Raw genomic sequence first — 17,789 nt, 5'->3', positions numbered from 1 at the left:
AAATTCCTGCCACAATCCTGCACTGGGGCATGGTGTTCTTTCTTACTGTGTCATTCAAGTTGCAAAATCCATACATATTCTTGTAACTAAGCAAATATCTCCAATGCCATCTCCTGAGGTGAGCAATATTAACAGTTTTGTGAGTTTTTTTCCTATTATTTTCCCTAGGAAGATACGAATAGTTACAAATTAAAAATTCGTAGAGGGATTCCCACCTCCATTTACAAAATTTTAATTAAAAGCAAAAATCAGGCTAGGCGTGGCAGCTCACATCTGTAATCCCAGCACTTTGGGAGTCTGTGGTCAGAGGATTGCTTGAGGCCAGGAGTTTGAGACCAGCCTGTGCAACATAGGCAGACTCTGTCTCTACAAAATATTTTTAAAAATTAGCTGGGCATGGTGACTCCAGCTACTCAGGAGGCTGAGGCAGGAGGATTGTGTGAGCCCGGGAGGTCAAGACTGCAGTGAGCCGTGATCACGCCACTGCACTCCAGCCTGGATGACAGAGTGAGACCCAGTCTGTAAAAACAAAAAAGCAAAAATCACATTACACAATTAGTTTGTAAACTACATTTTCCCTTAGCCACATATCATGATCATTTTGACAAGTAATATTGATTCATCTCACTTCATCTCACTCTTAATAGCAGTTCAATATTTCATAGTATAGAATATGCTATGGATTATTCAACCGCCCCCATATTGGTAGACATCCAGGGTGTTTCTAGTGATTTTTGCTATTATCAATAATATTGTGATAAACATCTCTGTAAATATTATAAACTAGTAGGCTGTAATCCCAGCACTTTGGGAGGCCGAGGCCAGCGGATCGCTTGTGGTCCAGAGTTCAAGACCAGCTTGGGCAACATGGTGAAATCTCATCTCTACAAAAAAATACTTAAAATTAGCTGAGCATGATGGCATTCGCCTATAGTCCCAGCTACTCAAGAGGCTGAGGCAGGAGAGAGAGGATCGCTTGAGTCCAGGAGGCAGAGGTTGCAGTGAGATGAGATCGTGCCACTGCACTCCAGCCTGAGCAACAGAAATGAAACCTTGTCTCAAAAAAAAAAAAAAAAAAAAGAAACTAGTGTTTTACTTTTGTGGGAGATAGTCCTAAAAGTAGGATAGTTAAATCAAAAGATAGACACTTTAAAACTGGACACAAACTAAATTACCAACAATAGGAGATTTAAAAAAAAAGTTTTTTGGACTGGGTTTCAATTCATCACTCAGGTTGAAGTACAGTGGCGCAATCATGGCTCACTGCAGTCTTGAACTCCTGGGCTCAAGTGATCCTCCTTGCCTCAGCCTCTAGAATAGCTGGAACTGCAAGTGTGCGCCATAGAGATGGGGTCTTGCTAGGTTGCCGAGGCTGGTCTTGGACTCCGGGCCTCAAGTGATCCTCCAACCTCAGCCTCCCGAGTTACTAGGATTACAGTCGTGAGCCACCTTGCCTGGCAACAATAGAAGATTGATTAAGCACATTGCACACAATGGAATACCCACTACATATAATGACAATTTTTAATTTATTTAGAAAAATGTTTTTTTAGAGCTGTTTAAAGAAAAGCCATGTTACAAACAGTACATATAGTATTACCCTATTTTATAAAAATATATGCAGAGAATAAAAGACTTTGAGAAAGAATAAACACTGAAATATTAACAGTGGTTGTTTCTGGGTTACAGGTGCCTTTTCTTTTTTTTTTCTTTTTTCTTTTTTTGAAATGGAGTGTTGCTCAGTTGCCCAGGCTAGAGTACAGTGGCACAACCTCGGCTCACTGCATCCTCCTCTGCTGGGTTCAAACGATTCTCCTGCCTCGGTCTTCCAAGTAGCTGGGACTACAGGCGTGCACCACCAACCCTGGCTAATTTTTGTATTTTTAGTAGAGATGGGGTTTCATCCTGTTGGTCAGGCTGGTCTCAAACTCCTGACCTCAAGTGATCCACCCACCTCGGCCTCCCAAAGTGCCGGGATTACAGGCGTGAGCCACTGCACCTAGCCAAAGTACAATTTCTGACATGCATACATTTTGGTGGCACAGCATAAATTCTTTTTTAAAAATCCTTTTTTTTTTTTTTGAGACAGAGTCTTGCCCTGTCACCCAGGCTGGAGTGTAGCGGTGCTATCTCGGCTCACTGCAACTTCCACCTCCTGGGTTCAAGCAATTCTCCTGCCTCAGCCTCCCGAGTAGCTGGGACTACAGGCGTGTGTCACCATGCCCAGCTAATTTTTGTATTTTTAGTAGAGACGGGGTTTCATCATGTTGGCTAGGCTGGTCTTGAACTCCTGACCTCAGGTGACCTGCCTGCCTTGGCATCCCAAAGTGCTGGGATTACAGGAGTGAGCCACTGTGCCTGCCTTTCCTTTTCTTGTTTTGGCTTGTCTATGTTTTCTACTGCCTCTGCAGCAATGTGTTAGACTCTCTTGGGCTGCAGGGAGAAGAGACCAGCTCAGGTGCTGTACTTGGCAAGTGAGTGGTCATTTCAAGGCTCCATGCGGAGGTGAGGCGTCCGGGAGGCTGGCACCTTAATTGGGAAAATGAGAGCTCTGGCAGCTTGGCAGCCGCTAGAAGCAAAGATGTGAGCACCACTTTACCCTGCAAAGGCAGTGGGACTGCTCTTGCTCCAAGGGGCGCCATCATAGGTATGTCTTTGCCCATTTTTGCCTTGGCTTCTGATTCACCCTTGAGTCTCTGCTTCTCTTGTCGCTCCCAAAGCCTGTCTCCATTCTCCCCTCCTCTCGAAGGCTGTCCTCATGCATGATTCTTCCATGGCCTCTGCTTAGTGCCTCCTGTGTCCACCTTCTTTGAGGGCCTTACACTCCCTTCAAATCCCCCAAGAAACACTATCTGATTGGGTGGTTAGTATTGGTAGCTGCTGTTGGTCACAGCGCTGGCCCCAGGCCATGTTAGAGGGCACTGCTCAGTCAGCAGTTGGCTGCCTTTGTTTCTATAAGGGTCCCTGGCCTGGTCAGTTCTACTAGGGTGGTGAGATTATGCTGCATGTCAGTTATCCACTGCTACTGCCGTACTCTAATACCTGTATTAGTTTGCTAGGGCTGCCGTAACAAAGTACCACAAGTTACTACTGTCTCTGGGCTGGCTGTGACAGAGCAGAAAATCAAAGCTGCCCACAGGCCGGGTACGGTGGCTCATGCCTGTAATCCCAGCACTTTGGGAGGTTGAGGTGGGCGGATCACAAGGTCAGGAGATTGAGACCATCCTGGCGAACACAGTGAAACCCCGTCTCTACTAAAAATACAAAAAATTGGCCAGGCGTGGTGGCACGTGCCTGTAGTCCCAGCTACTCGGGGGTGGAGGCAGGAGAATCGCTTGAACCCGGGAGGCAGAGGTTGCAGTGAGCCAAGACCACGCCACTGCACTACAGCCTGGGCAGCAGAGTGAGATTCCATCTCAAAAAAAAAAAAAAAAGCTGCCCACCAAATACTAGCTCCCTTCCTGGACTACGTTTTCATAGGTCTAGTCTAAGACACCCTGAGGTGGAAAGAATTTCCTAGAGAAGACAAAATGTCTTGGAGAAAGGTGAAAGGCAAAGGGTACATCCCCTCAGGGAAGGGGCGCCATGAGGAGGGAGAGGTCTGTGGCTTAAACCACAGAAATGTGTTGTTTCACAGTTCTGGAGGCTGAAGTCTGAGATCAGGGTATTGGCTGGATGGCCTCCCTGTGAGCTCTGTGAGGATCTGTTCCATGCTGCTCCCCTGCTTGTGGTTTGCAGGCAATCTTTCGAGCTCCTTGGCTTGTAGAAACATTGCCCAATCTCTGCCCTCATCTTCACATGGCTTTCTCCTTGTGTGTGTGTCGTGTGTGTGTGTGTGTGTGTGTCTGTCTGTCTGTCTGTCTGTCTGTCTGTCTGTCTGTCTCTGGGTCCAAACCCTCCTTTTTAATAAAGACAGCAGTCATATTGAATTAGGGATTAGGAGGCATTTACATCAAACAGTACTGCTTTGGCCACCATGAAATTCTAAGATTAGCCTGCCTGCTGATTTGGTAGTAATTTAGAATTTATTTCATCACTTTCTCCTGAATACTCTAATATGTAATTACACATGTATGTCAGCTGATAGTTTTGCCATTAAATGCAATTAGAATCAGCTTTATGATTTCTCAAATTTAATCTCCTCCTAAACCATTCCATACCCAAGACAAAAAAGACCTTGACCTAGGGCAGGTCCAGCCCCACAATGAGGTGGGCCACAGGGCTCCCATCTCCCTGAATTCTGAACTAAGTAATGCTATGAGTAACCTAGTTGAATAATACTGTGGGAGTAAATCTGTTTCCATCCTCTGGCCTAAGATCTCAGCCTCCATGTATGGTATTGTTCCCATGGGAAAATGCATTCCAAATTCCAAACGACTGATTTGCATGTGAACTTTCACTCTGGAAGTTAGTGACTGCCAGAATATATTCTCCTGTGGCTCAGTCTACCAATAGCTTCTCACGAGTCCTGTTCTCTGTCCACCTCCTCACCTCCCACCTCCCCTATATGTACCCTCAATATTGACATGGTACCTCTATTAGTTTGTTCTCACGCTGTTAATAAAGACACACCTGAGACTGGGTAATTTATAAAGGAAAGAGGTTTAATTGACTCACAGTTCCAGATGGCTGGGGACACCTCACAATCATGGCGGAAGAGCAAGGGATGTCTTACATGGCAGCAGGCAAGAGAGAGCATCTGCAGGGGAACTCTCCTTTATAAAACCATCAGATCTTGTGAGACTTCTTCACTATCACGAGAACAACACGGGAAAGACCCGCCCCCATGATTCGGTTATCCACCAGGTCCCTCCCATGACATGTGGGAATTGTGGGAGCTACAATTCAAGATGAGATTTGGGTGGGGGCACAGCCAAACCATATCAGTACCTCAAAGTGAAGCTTCACCCAGGTGTTCTCTGTCCCTCCCTTGAGCCATTGTATCCTTAGGCCTGAGCTACGGTGTTCATCTTGTTTTACCTGGGTTGTAGAGAGCTGTGCATGAGAGTCTTCACCCTCTTACAAAATCTTAGGATTCTTGAGAGTGAAACTGTATTTCCCACATCTTTGTATCCTTCCAGGAAGAGTATGAGGTATATAGGATTTATGAAGCATCTACTATGTGCCAGGCTCTGAAACAGTGCTTTCTAGCATACTTATTATTATTATTGAGACAGAGTTTCACTCTTGTCACCCAGGCTGGAGTGCAGTGGCATGATCTTGGCTCACTGCAACCTCCGCCTCCTGGGTTGAAGCAATTCTCCTGCCTCAGCCTCCTGAGTAGCTGGGATTACAGGCGCGCACCACCACGCCCAGCTAATTTTTGTATTTTTAGTAGAGATGGGGTTTCGCCATGCTGGCCAGGCTTGTCTCCAACTCCTGACCTCAGGTGATCCAACCACCTGGGCCTACCAAAGTGCTGGGATTGCAGGTATGAGCCACTGTGCCTGGCCTATTTTTTTTTTTAATTTATCTTCCAGATTTTAGCCCAGGACCTGGTACATAGCAGATGCTCAGTAGATCATTCTCAAAAAGGTTTTAAATCCCCAGCCTGCATGCAGCCTCCTTTCCCTCAGTCTCCTGGCCACTTGTGCATGTTTTCCCCAAGCTCCCTAACTCATGGGGGTAACTCAGGCTGCCCTTGCCTTCCTCAGGGCTGAGGGAACTGGGAAGGTGGCAAGATTAGCAACCTAGAAACAGTTGCCTGGCATCTGAGGGAAAGCCAGCCCTCTCCTCTCCACCTCCCATCCCAGCAGATGGGTTCTAGTGAGTTTGTGGGCTCCCTTGCTCCAACAAAAACGGGAACAGATTGGATCCCCAGGACTCACAATGTGGGAACACGTGCAGTGGGTGGAAATGTCAGTTCACAAACTCAGGTGCACATGAAGTTTAACTTTGTGTTTTACAAATCAGCTAGTCTGCTAAACTGGGGGGAACTTAACCCCGGTTCTTGAAGATGTGTTCCCTGCTCCTCCCTGACCCATAGCCCCATGGTTGTTCTCTGGGTCTGGAATCTTAGGCTGTGTGCAAAGCATTTCTTCATTGGACACATGTCCACATGGTTGCTGCTGAGACATCCGCCATCCCTGCTCCATAGGCTCAGGCCCAGAGTCTCGGCAAATTCCATCTAAGTGACCCCCGCCCCATGACACTCTTCTGTGATCCTTCTCTGGGTTCATGTGTGTGGCTTCTGGGGTCTACTAGGGAGACAGGCCAGGTCTGCTCTGTTCCTGGGACCCATGACCTCTCCCTCCTCATAGCCCCTCTGCCCTGGGTGGATGAACCCTTTGTCTTTCATCTTTCTCCAAGACATTTTGTCTTCTCTATGAAATTCTTTCTACCTCAGGGAGTCTTAGACTAGACCTATGAAAATGTAGTCCAGGAAGGGAGTTAGTGTTTGGTGGGCAACTTTTATTTTCTGCTCTGTCACAGCCCTGCCCAGAGCCCACTACTTGCACATTTGGAGGAATAGAAAAGAGAAAAATACGGGGGAGGAGCCAAGATGGCCGAATAGGAACAGCTCCAGTCTACAGCTCCCAGCATGAGCGATGCAAAAGATGGGTGATTTCTGCATTTCCATCTGAGGTACCGGGTTCATCTCACTAGGGAGTGCCAGACAGTGGGCGCAGGTCAGTGGGTGCGTGCATCATGCGCCAGCCAAAGCAGGGCGAGGCATTGCCTTACTTGGGAAGTGCAAGGGGTCAGGGAGTTCCATTTCCTAGTCAAAGAAAAGGGTGACAGAAGCCACCTGGAAAATCGGGTCACTCCCACCTGAATACTGCGCTTTTCCGACGGGCTTAAAAAACGGCGCACGAGGAGATTATAACCCACACCTGGCTCAGAGGGTCCTACGCCCACGGAGTCTCACTGATTGCTAGCACAGCAGTCTGAGATCAAACTGCAAGGCGGCAGCGAGGCTGGGGGAGGGGCGCCCGCCATTGCCCAGGCTTCCTTAGGTAAACAAAGCAGCCAGGAAGCTCGAACAGGGTGGAGCCCACCACAGCTCAAGGAGGCCTGCCTGCCTCTGTAGGCTCCACCTCTGGGGGCAGGGCACAGACAAACAAAAAGACAGCAGTAACCTCTACAGACTTAAATGTCCCTGTCTGACAGCTTTGAAGAGAGCAGTGGTTCTCCCAGCATGCAGCTGGAGATCTGAGAACGGGCAGACTGCCTCCTCAAGTGGGTCCCTGATGCCTGACCTCCGGGCAGCCTAACTGGGAGGCACCCCCCAGCAGGGGCAGACTGACACCTCACACGGCCGGCCGGGTACTCCAACAGACCTGCAGCTGAGCGTCCTGTCTGTTAGAAGGAAAACTAACAAACAGAAAGGATATCCACACCAAAAACCCATCTGTACATCACCATCATCGAAGACCAAAAGTAGATAAAACCACAAAGATGGGGAAAAAACAGAGCAGAAAAAATGGAAACTCTAAAAAGCAGAGCGCCTCACCTCCTCCAAAGGAACGCAGTTCCTCACCAGCAACGGAACAAATGACTTTGACGAGCTGAGAGAAGGAGGCTTCAGACGATCAAATTACTCCGAGCTACGGGAGGACATTCAAACCAATGGCAAGGAAGTTGAAAACTTTGAAAAAAATTTAGAAGAATGTATAACTAGAATAACTAATACAGAGAAGTGCTTAAAGGAGCTGATGGAGCTGAAAACCAAGGCTCGAGAACTACGTGAAGAATGCAGAAGCCTCAGGAGCTGATGCGATCAACTGGAAGAAAGGGTATCAGTGATGGAAGATGAAATGAATGAAATGAAGAGAGAAGGGAAGTTTAGAGAAAAAAGAATAAAAAGAAATGAGCAAAGCCTCCAAGAAATATGCGACTATGTGAAAAAACCAAATCTACGTCTGATTGGTGTACCTGAAAGTGACGGGGAGAATGGAACCAAATTGGAAAACACTCTGCAGGATATTATCCAGGAGAACTTCCCCAATCTAGCAAGGCAGGCCAACGTTCAGATTCAGGAAATACAGAGAACGCCACAAAGATACTCCTCGAGAAGAGCAACTCCAAGACACATAATTGTCAGATTCACCAAAGTTGAAATGAAGGAAAAATGTTAAGGGCAGCCAGAGAGAAAGGTTGGGTTACCCTCAAAGGGAAGCCCATCAGACTAACAGCGGATCTCTCGGCAGAAACTCTACAAGCCAGAAGAGAGTGGGGGCCAATATTCAACATTCTTAAAGAAAAGAATTTTCAACCCAGAATTTCATATCCAGCCAAACTAAGCTTCATAAGTGAAGGAGAAATAAAATACTTTACAGACAAGCAAATGCTGAGAGATTTTCTCACCACCAGGCCTGCCCTAAAAGAGCTCCTGAAGGAAGCGCTAAACATGGAAAGGAACAACCGGTACCAGCTGCTGCAAAATCATGCCCAAAATGTAAAGACCATCGAGACTAGGAAGAAACTGCATGAACTATCGAGCAAAATAACCAGCTAACATCATAATGACAGGATCAAATTCACACATAACAATATTAACTTTAAATGTAAATGGACTAAATGCTCCAATTAAAAGACACAGACTGGCAAATTGGATAAAGAGTCAAGACCCATCAGTGTGCTGTATTCAGGAAACCCATCTCACATGCAGAGACACACATAGGCTCAAAATAAAAGTATGGAGGAAGATCTATCAAGCAAATGGAAAACAAAAAAAGGCAGGGGTTGCAATCCTAGGCTCTGATAAAACAGACTTTAAACCAACAAAGATCAAAAGAGACAAAGAAGGCCATTACATAATGGTAAAGGGATCAATTCAACAAGAAGAGCTGACTATCCTAAATATATATGCACCCAATACAGGAGCACCCAGATTCATAAAGCAAGTCCTGAGTGACCTACAAGGAGACTTAGACTCCCACACATTAATAATGGGAGACTTTAACACCCCACTGTCAACATTAGACAGATCAATGAGACAGAAAGTCAACAAGGATACCCAGGAATTGAACTCAGCTCTGCACCAACTGGACCTAATAGATATCTACAGAACTCTCCACCCCAAATCAACAGAATATACATTTTTTTCAGCACCACACCACACCTATTCCAAAATTGACCACATACTTGGAAGTAAAGCTCTCCTCAGCAAATGTAAAAGAACAGAAATTATAACAAACTATCTCTCAGACCACAGTGCAATCAAACTAGAACTCAGGATTAAGAATCTCACTTAAAACCGCTCAACTACATGGAAACTGAACAACCTGCTCTTGAATGACTACTGGGTACATAACGAAATGAAGGCAGAAATAAAGATGTTCTTTGAAACCAACGAGAACAAAGACACAACATACCAGAATCTCTGGGACGCATTCAAAGCAGTGTGTAGAGGGAAATTTATAGCACTAAATGCCCACAAGAGAAAGCAGGAAAGATCCAAAATTGAAACCCTAACATCACAATTAAAAGAACTAGAAAAGCAAGAGCAAACACATTCAAAAGCTAGCAGAAGGCAAGAAATAACTAAAATCAGAGCAGAACTGAAGGAAATAGAGACACAAAAAACCCTTCAAAAATTAATGAATCCAGGAGCTGGTTTTTTGAAAGGATCAACAAAATTGATAAACCGCTAGCAAGACTAATAAGAAAAAAAGAGAGAAGAATCAAATAGATGCAATAAAAAATGATAAAGGGGATATCACCACCGATCCCACAGAACTACAAACTACCATCAGAGAATACTACAAACACCTCTACGCAAATAAAACTAGAAAATCTAGAAGAAATGGATAAATTCCTCGACACATACACTCTCCCAAGACTAAACCAGGAAGAAGTTGAATCTCTGAATAGACCAATAACAGGAGCTGAAATTGTGGCAATAATCAATAGCTTACCAACCAAAAAGAGTCCAGGACCAGATGGATTCACAGCCAAATTCTACCAGAGGTACAAGGAGGAACTGGTACCATTCCTTCTGAAACTATTCCAATCAATAGAAAAAGAGGGAATCCTCCCTAACTCATTTTATGAGGCCAGCATCATCCTGATACCAAAGCCGGGCAGAGACACAACCAAAAAAGAGAATTTTAGACCAATATCCTTGATGAACATCGATGCAAAAATCCTCAGTAAAATACTGGCAAACCAAATCCAGCAGCACATCAAAAAGCTTATCCACCATGATCAAGTGGACTTCATCCCTGGGATGCAAGGCTGGTTCAATATACGCAAATCAATAAACGTAATCCAGCACATAAACAGAACCAAAGACAAAAACCACATGATTATCTCAATAGATGCAGAAAAGGCCTTTGACAAAATTCAACAAATCTTCATGCTAAAAACTCTCAATAAATTAGGTACTGATGGGACGTATTTCAAAATAATAAGAGCTATCTATGACAAACCCACAGCCAATATCATACTGAATGGGCAAAAACTGGAAGCATTTCCTTTGAAAACTGGCACAAGACAGGGATGCCCTCTCTCACCACTCCTATTCAACATAGTGTTGGAAGTTCTGGCCAGGGCAATCAGGCAGGAGAAGGAAATAAAGGGTATTCAATTAGGAAAAGAGGAAGTCAAATTGTCGCTGTTTGCAGGTGACATGATTGTATATCTAGAAAACCCCATTGTCTCAGCCCAAAATCTCCTTAAGCTGATAAGCAACTTCAGCAAAGTCTCAGGATACAAAATCAATGTACAAAAATCACAAGCATTCTCATACACCAACAACAGACAGAGAGCCAAATCATGAGTGAACTCCCATTCACAATTGCTTCAAAGAGAATAAAATACCTAGGAATACAACTTACAAGGGATGTGAAGGACCTCTTCAAGGAGAACTACAAACCACTGCTCAAGGAAATAAAAGAGGATACAAACAAATGGAAGAACACTCCATGCTCATGAGTAGGAAGAATCAATATTGTGAAAATGGCCATACTGCCCAAGGTAATTTATAGATTCAATGCCATCCCCATCAAGCTACCAATGACTTTCTTCACAGAATTGGAAAAAACTAAAGTTCATATGGAACCAAAAAAGAGCCTGCATCGCCAAGTCAATCCTAAGCCAAAAGAACAAAGCTGGAGGCGTCACACTACCTGACTTCAAACTATACTACAAGGCTACAGTAACCAAAACAGCATGGTACTGGTACCAAAACAGAGATATAGATCAATGGAACAGAACAGAGCCCTCAGAAATAACGCCGCATATCTACAACTATCTGATCTTTGACAAACCTGAGAAAAACAAGCAATGGGGAAAGGATTCCCTATTTAATAAATGGTGCTGGGAAAACGGGCTAGCCATATGTAGAAAGCTGAAACTGCATCCCTTCCTTACACCTTATACAAAAATCAATTCAAGGTGGATTAAAGACTTAAACGTTAGACCTAAAACCATAAAAACCCTAGAAGAAAACCTAGGCTTTACCATTCAGGACATAGGCATGGGCAAGGACTTCATGTCTAAAACACCAAAAGCAATGGCAACAAAAGCCAAAATTGACAAATGGGATCTAATTAAACTAAAGAGCTTCTGAACAGCAAAAGAAACTACCATCAGAGTGAACAGGCAACCTACAAAATGGGAGGAAATTTTCACAACCTACTCATCTGACAAGGGGCTAATATCCAGAATCTACAATGAACTCAAACAAATTTACAAGAAAAAAACAAACAACCCCATCAAAAAGTGGGCGAAGGACGTGAACAGACACTTCTCAAAAGAAGACATTTATGCAGCCAAAAAACACATGAAAAAATGCTCACCATCACTGGCCATCAGAGAAATGCAAATCAAAACCACAATGAGATACCATCTCACACCAGTTAGAATGGCAATCATTAAAAAGTCAGGAAACAACAGGTGCTGGAGAGGATGTGGAGAAATAGGAACACTTTTACACTGTTGGTGGGACTGTAAACTAGTTCAACCATTGTGGAATTCAGTGTGGCGATTCCTCAGGGCTCTAGAACTAGAAATACCATTTGACCCAGCCATCCCATTACTGGGTATATACCCAAAGGACTATAAATCATGCTGCTATAAAGACACATGCACACCTATGTTTATTGCGGCATTATTCACAATAGCAAAGACTTGGAACCTACCCAGATGTCCAACAATGATAGACTGGATTAAGAAAATGTGGCACATATACACCATGGAATACCATGCAACTATAAAAAATGATGAGTTCATGTCCTTTGTAGGGACATGGATGAAACTGGAAATCATCACTCTCAGTAAACTATCGCAAGAACAAAAAACCAAACTCTGCATATTCTCACTCATAGGTGGGAATTGAACAATGAGAACACATGGACACAGGAAGGGGAACATCACACTCTGGGGCCTGTTGTGGGTTGGGGGAAGTGGGGAGGGATAGCATTGGGAGATATACCTAATGCTAGATGACGAGTTAGTGGGTGCAGCACACCAGCATGGCACATGTATACATATGTAACTAACCTGCACATTGTGCACATGTACCCTAAAACTTAAAGTATAATAATAATAAAAAATTAAAAAAAGGAAAAAAAAAGAAAAGAGAAAAATACAAAGAGGAGGGGAACAAAACTCATAGATGAATATATCAAAATATTTATCCCAAGCTGATATACCTTGTAGATTGCCTTCAACTCTAGATCTCCTCCTCCTCCTTCTTCTTCTCCTCTTCCTCCTCCTCCTTCTCCCCCTCCTCCTTCTCCCTCCTCTTCCTCCTCCTCTCCTCCTCCTCCCCCTCCTCCTTCTCCTCCTCCCTCTCCTCCTCCTCCTTCTCCTTCCTCCTCCTCCTCCTCCTTCCGCCTCCTCGTCTCCTCCTCCTCTCCTCCTCCTTCTTCCTCTTCTTCTTTTCTTCCTCTTCCTCTCCTCCTCCTTCCTCTTTCCCTTCCCCTCCTCCCTCCTCTTCCTCCTTCCTCTTTCTTTTCCTCCCCCTCCCCCTTCTTCCTCTCCTTCTCCTTCTCCTTCTCCTCCTCCTCCTTCTTCTTCTTCTTTAAAAAAGAGATAGGGTCTTGATCTGTTGCCCAGGCTGAAGTGCAGTGGCACAAAGATAGCTCACCCTAACCTTGAATTCCTGGGCTAAAGTAATCCTCCCACCTCAGCCTCCTCAGTAGCTGGGACTACAGGCATGAGCCACCATGCCCAGCCCAAACCCCAGCTCTTCTGCTGAAAGCAAACTTGCCCCCCTAGGGTGCTAGAAGAGCTCAGGCAGGGTTGGCTGCCACCTTCTGAGGGACTGTATGTCTTACTTCTGTCTGTCTTCTCCACAGCCCTGTTGGTTACCTTTTCCTAGCTACTCCCATGGTTTTGGGAAGAACATTTGTCAGAATGGTGAAGGGAGGGCCCCTGGGGCTCATCCCAGTGGTCAGCATAGGCATCAAAGCAGATTACGGCAAGCCGTGGAATATGTACTAGTGGAGGAAACAAATGGTGCTGGGCAAATTAAGAAAGAAGGTATAGGCCGGGCGCCGTGGCTTATGCCTGTAATACCAGCACTTTGGGAAGTTGAGGCGGGTGGATCACTTGAGGCCAGGAGCTTGAGGCCAGCCTGGCCAACACAGTGAAACCTTACCTCTACTAAAAATGCAAAAAAAGAAAAAAAGAAAAAAAAAATTAGCCAGGCTTTGTGGCACACACCTGTAGTCCCAGCTACTTGGGAGGCTGAGGCATGAGAGTCACTTGAACCCGGGAGGCAGAGGCTAGAGTGAGCCAAGATCACCCCACTGTACTCCAGTCTGGGCGACAGAGCAAGACTCTGTCTCGAAAAAGAAAAGAAAAAACAAAAAGTCTCCAAAATAAATAAATAAATAAATAAATAAATAAATAAATAAATAAATAAGAAAGAAAGAAAGAAAAGGAAATAAAAAAGAAAGAGAGAAGGTATAAATTTCCAGGTGGGAAGTAACCAGGACAGGAAATCTTCATGGAGGAGGTGGCACTCGGTGTAAGGATTTAGAAGAGATAAGACGGAGGGAAGGCAGGAATGATGGTCTAATTGGGGAGCAGAGAGGGTGTACTTGGAGCATGTGCTTCAATAAGAAAAGTGTCTCAGTTTTTAAGCTAATGTTGACCTGGTAAAAAGATGTTTGAGGGAGTAGGGTAAAAGCAAGACTATAGTGTTATGGAGAAGGTGGCTGAAATCCTCAATAGTGTCACTGAGTGGTCCTAAGCAGGCTCTGGATCCAGGCTGCCAGGGTTCAAATCCTGGCTATGCTATGCAGCTGCTGCATGTTCTTCAGCAGGTTACAAAACCCCTCTGTCCCTTGAGTCCTCAGCTATGATGTGGAGACAATAATGTACTGGTGTCCAAAAGTGGCTATGAGGATAAGTTTAGAAGTTTAGAAGTATAAAGGGCTTAGATGAGTGCTCGGCACATAGTAATGCTCACTGTATGTTTAGCAATAATGGTGATGGTGATGGATAAGATAAAGATGGACGCCCCTCCCAACCAAACACCCGGGTGACCTCTGGTTCCGACCCCCTCCAGGCCCTCCTGCCCTGATGTTTGACCTCAGCTATGCCTCTGATTCCAGGTAGGGGAAGATGCTTATGCCCTTCCAGGTCTCAGGTTGCTTATTCTGTGACCATCTGACCCCTAGCAATGCTGTCTCAGCCCCTCCAGGCCAGGTCTGGGTGCCGTGGGCCCTGCTGATGAGGTGGTGTGTCATGCCTGGTCAGCAGGGCAGACCGAGGGGCAGAGCTGCTTTCCCCAGCAGGGGAATAGAGTTGCGCCTTGCCTCAACTCTGCCTCTCACTGGCCTCAGTTTTCTTCTTAGTGGACTCCTAGGACATCTACCCAGATGCCCGGACAGAGGCACAGGCTTGGCTCAGGTCTTCCAGCCAATGAATAGCCAAGGCCGGATTCACACTAGGACAGTCTGGCTTTTAACTGCTGCACTAAGAGTCACTGCAGTAGATCCAGACATCAAGGAAGGTTCCCAGAGTCCTGGTGCCTCTGTGCCCTTAGGCGGGTGAATACTGATGGGTGGAGACAGAATTGTTACAAATATATAATAAATAAGTTATAGTAAAGCAGAATTCAATCCGAAACTCAGAAGAAAAGCAGTCCCCTCCATTCTATTGCAAACCACCTCTAAACTTCGTGGCTTAAAACCACAAAACTCACATTTGCTCATGATTCTGCAACGTGGGCAGAGCTCGGCAGCGGCAGTTCATCTCTGTTCCACATGGCATCAGCTGAGGCTGCTCCACCGAGGCTGCAGGATCCAGTTCCAGAATGGCACACTCACGTCACTGGAAGTTGATGCTGGCTGGCAGCCAGGGCCTCCTCTTGGCCTCCTTACACAGTTAAGTTAAACTTCTGCAGCACAATAGTTGGGTTCCAAGTGGGAGCATCCCAGGAGGAAGCATCCCAGGCCAGGGGTAGGCACTTTTCAAGCCTCTGCTGGCATCTTCTTGCTAGAGCCCTATTGGCCAAAGCTTGTCAGCTGACCAAGCCCAGAGTCAGTGTGGGAGGAGACTACACACAGTGGTGAATACTGGGAGCTGTGGTTTACCGAAGTGTCTGTCTGTCTGAACTTCTTTTTCCTAAGGCTCGCTTTGGTGCTCCTCACATTCTCCCATCAGCCTCCTCTGAAACCTGGTTCCATCCAGTATCCTCTCTCTCACCTCGTCCATTGCTCCTTCTTCAACGAATCCCTCCTTTCAGCCAACAGACCCACTCAAGCCACAGCTATCCCCGAACAGCTCCGTTCAGCCCTGCGTCTCCCTCAGGGTGCCGTCCTGTCTCCCTCCATTCCTTTGCTTCCAAAACCCTTCAAATAGCTGCTGAATGCTGGAAGCAGAAAAAGTTCCCTAAAGCCAATTTGCTACATTTATGAAATATTCTAGGCTGGGCACTGTGTCTCACGCCTGTAATCCCAACACTTTGGGAGGCCAAGGCGGGCGGATCACAAGGTCAAGAGATCAAGACCACCCTGACCAACATGGTGAAACCCCGCCTCTCCTAAAAATACAAAAATTATCTGGGTGTGGTGGCACGCACCTGTAGTCCCAGCTTCTTGGGAGGCTGAGGCAGGAGAATCGCTTGAATCCAGGAGGCAGAGGTTGTAGTGAGCCAAGATCGTGCCACTGCACTCCAGCCCGGCAACAGAGCCAGACTCTGCCTCAAAAAAAAAAAAAAAAAAAAAGTGAAATATTCTGATTTGTCCATTCTAAAGAATTTTTTCTTTAATGTTTTCAATGAATACGAATATATACTGTTAATGAATGCATTAGTAAATATATTCAAGAATATACTCTTATGAATATAAATAAAAATCTATTGATAAGAAGTCTAAACTACTCGATGACTCTTAGGTTCCAGCAAGCCCATAGTCTGTGAATAGATTCACAAGTGGAATATATTCATATTCACTGAGAAAAACTTTCTTCAAAATTTTTGACAAATTTGCCAAAATTGGCACACATCTCTTAATTAAAAAATTTCATCCCTCCTTTCTTCCATCCATTCATCCATCCAACGGATATTTATTTGAATGCCATGACATGCTCAGCACTGGGGCATAGTGTGGTTGAACACAGACCCAGCCCCGGCCCTCATAGAGTTTACAGTCTAGTAGGGGAGACAGTTACTCATTAAGTGATCATTTCAAACAAACCCTGAAACTGGCCGGGTGCCATGACTCATGCCTGTAATCCCAGCACTTTTGGAGGCCAAGATGAGAGGATCACTTGAGGTCAGGAGTTCGAGACCAGCCTGGCCAACACGGTGAAACCCCGTCTCTACTAAAAATACAAAAATCAGCTGGGTGTGGTGGCGGGTGCCTGTAATCCCAGCTACTCCGGAGGCTGAGGCAGGAAAACTGCTTGAACCCAGGAGGTGGAAGTTGCAGCGAGCTGAGATCGCGCCACTGCACTCCAGCCTGGGTGACAGAGTGAGACTCTGTCTCAATTAAAAAAAAAAAAAGAACACTGAAATTGCAATCTTGACCAGTGCTACCATACCTTTTCCAGCTCATGACACGCCCTTTGGCACGCACTGCTTTGGAATTTTGATCATACTGCTCCCTTTGCTGGCAATGCTCTTTCCCGCTTTCCCTGCTTGGCATATGCAGCTTAATTTTAAGACCCCAGTCAACAGCGCTCACTGTGGCTCTGGCTCCTATCCCCAGGAAAGATGAACTGCTCCATTATTTATGTTCTAGCAGCACTTGGCATAAACTTCTAGCAGTGAACATATCAAACCATAATATATTATATCTGTGTCTCTTCTATTAGATCGTAAGTGCAATAGGGTCAAGAATTCTGTCTTCAGAGGCTTGGGTGGAGTGAGTGTGCATGTTTAAAAAGAGAGAAGTTTACAAAAATGTTTAAAAAGAAAGAAGTCGGGGGGTGGGGGGCGGGTGGGCAGGCGCAGTGGCTCACGCCTGTAATCCCAGCACTTTGGGAGGCAGAGGGGGCCAGATAGCTTGAGCTGAGTTTAAGACCAGCCTGGGCAACATGGTGAAATCCCATCTCTACAAAAACATACAAAAAAAAAAAAAAAAAATTAGCTGGCTGTGATGGCAAGCACCTGTAGTCCCAGCTACTCAGGAAGCAAAGGTGGGAGGATTGCTTGAGCCTGGGAGGTCGAGGCTGCAGTGAGCTGTGATCGCCCTTTGCACTCCAGCCTGGGAGACAGAGTGAGACCCTGCCTCAGAAAAAAAGGTATCCTTACCTGACATGGAAAAATTCCTCTGGGCACCCATTAGGGGACAGACACCTCCATTTACACTCATCCTTTTAAAGCCTCTTATAATTTGACCCACAATATAGACATCAAAAATAAGCTTGAGGGAGGCCCAGCAGCC

The 17,789-nt window shown here is 45.5% G+C and overlaps 1 protein-coding gene and 1 long non-coding RNA gene across 6 annotated transcripts in view, besides 1 other annotated feature; both read right to left on the bottom strand.

Annotated features, from left to right (window-relative positions):
• Window positions 1-15,406, bottom strand: part of ABHD2 (abhydrolase domain containing 2, acylglycerol lipase) — a 161,358-nt gene extending 145,952 nt beyond the window's left edge. For both annotated transcript variants that reach the window (NM_001416423.1, NM_001416424.1), the window contains exon 1: window positions 15,104-15,406. The gene's annotated coding sequence lies outside the window, so the exon portion shown is untranslated. The remainder of the gene's footprint in view (window positions 1-15,103) is intronic.
• The window catches only part of CARMAL (coronary artery disease region linked MFGE8 regulatory lncRNA), a 43,232-nt gene extending 27,826 nt beyond the window's left edge, over window positions 1-15,406 (bottom strand). For all 4 annotated transcript variants that reach the window (NR_183882.1, NR_183883.1, NR_183881.1 and 1 more), the window contains exon 1: window positions 15,104-15,406. This is a non-coding gene — a long non-coding RNA (coronary artery disease region linked MFGE8 regulatory lncRNA). The remainder of the gene's footprint in view (window positions 1-15,103) is intronic.
• Window positions 6,873-7,424: an enhancer, noted in NCBI's record as "NANOG-H3K27ac-H3K4me1 hESC enhancer chr15:89592211-89592762 (GRCh37/hg19 assembly coordinates)". NCBI's record gives its function as "activates a minimal SCP1, AML or CMV promoter by ChIP-STARR-seq in primed H9 embryonic stem cells {active_cell/tissue: H9 hESC(primed)}" and the evidence as "EXISTENCE:reporter gene assay evidence [ECO:0000049][PMID:30033119]".
• Window positions 15,407-17,789: the final 2,383 nt, after the last annotated feature.

The sequence above is a fragment of the Homo sapiens genome, chromosome 15 (genome assembly GCF_000001405.40).
Source record: "Homo sapiens chromosome 15, GRCh38.p14 Primary Assembly".
Taxonomy (NCBI): Eukaryota; Metazoa; Chordata; class Mammalia; order Primates; family Hominidae; genus Homo; species Homo sapiens.
This window is presented reverse-complemented; position numbering and strand designations above follow the sequence as displayed.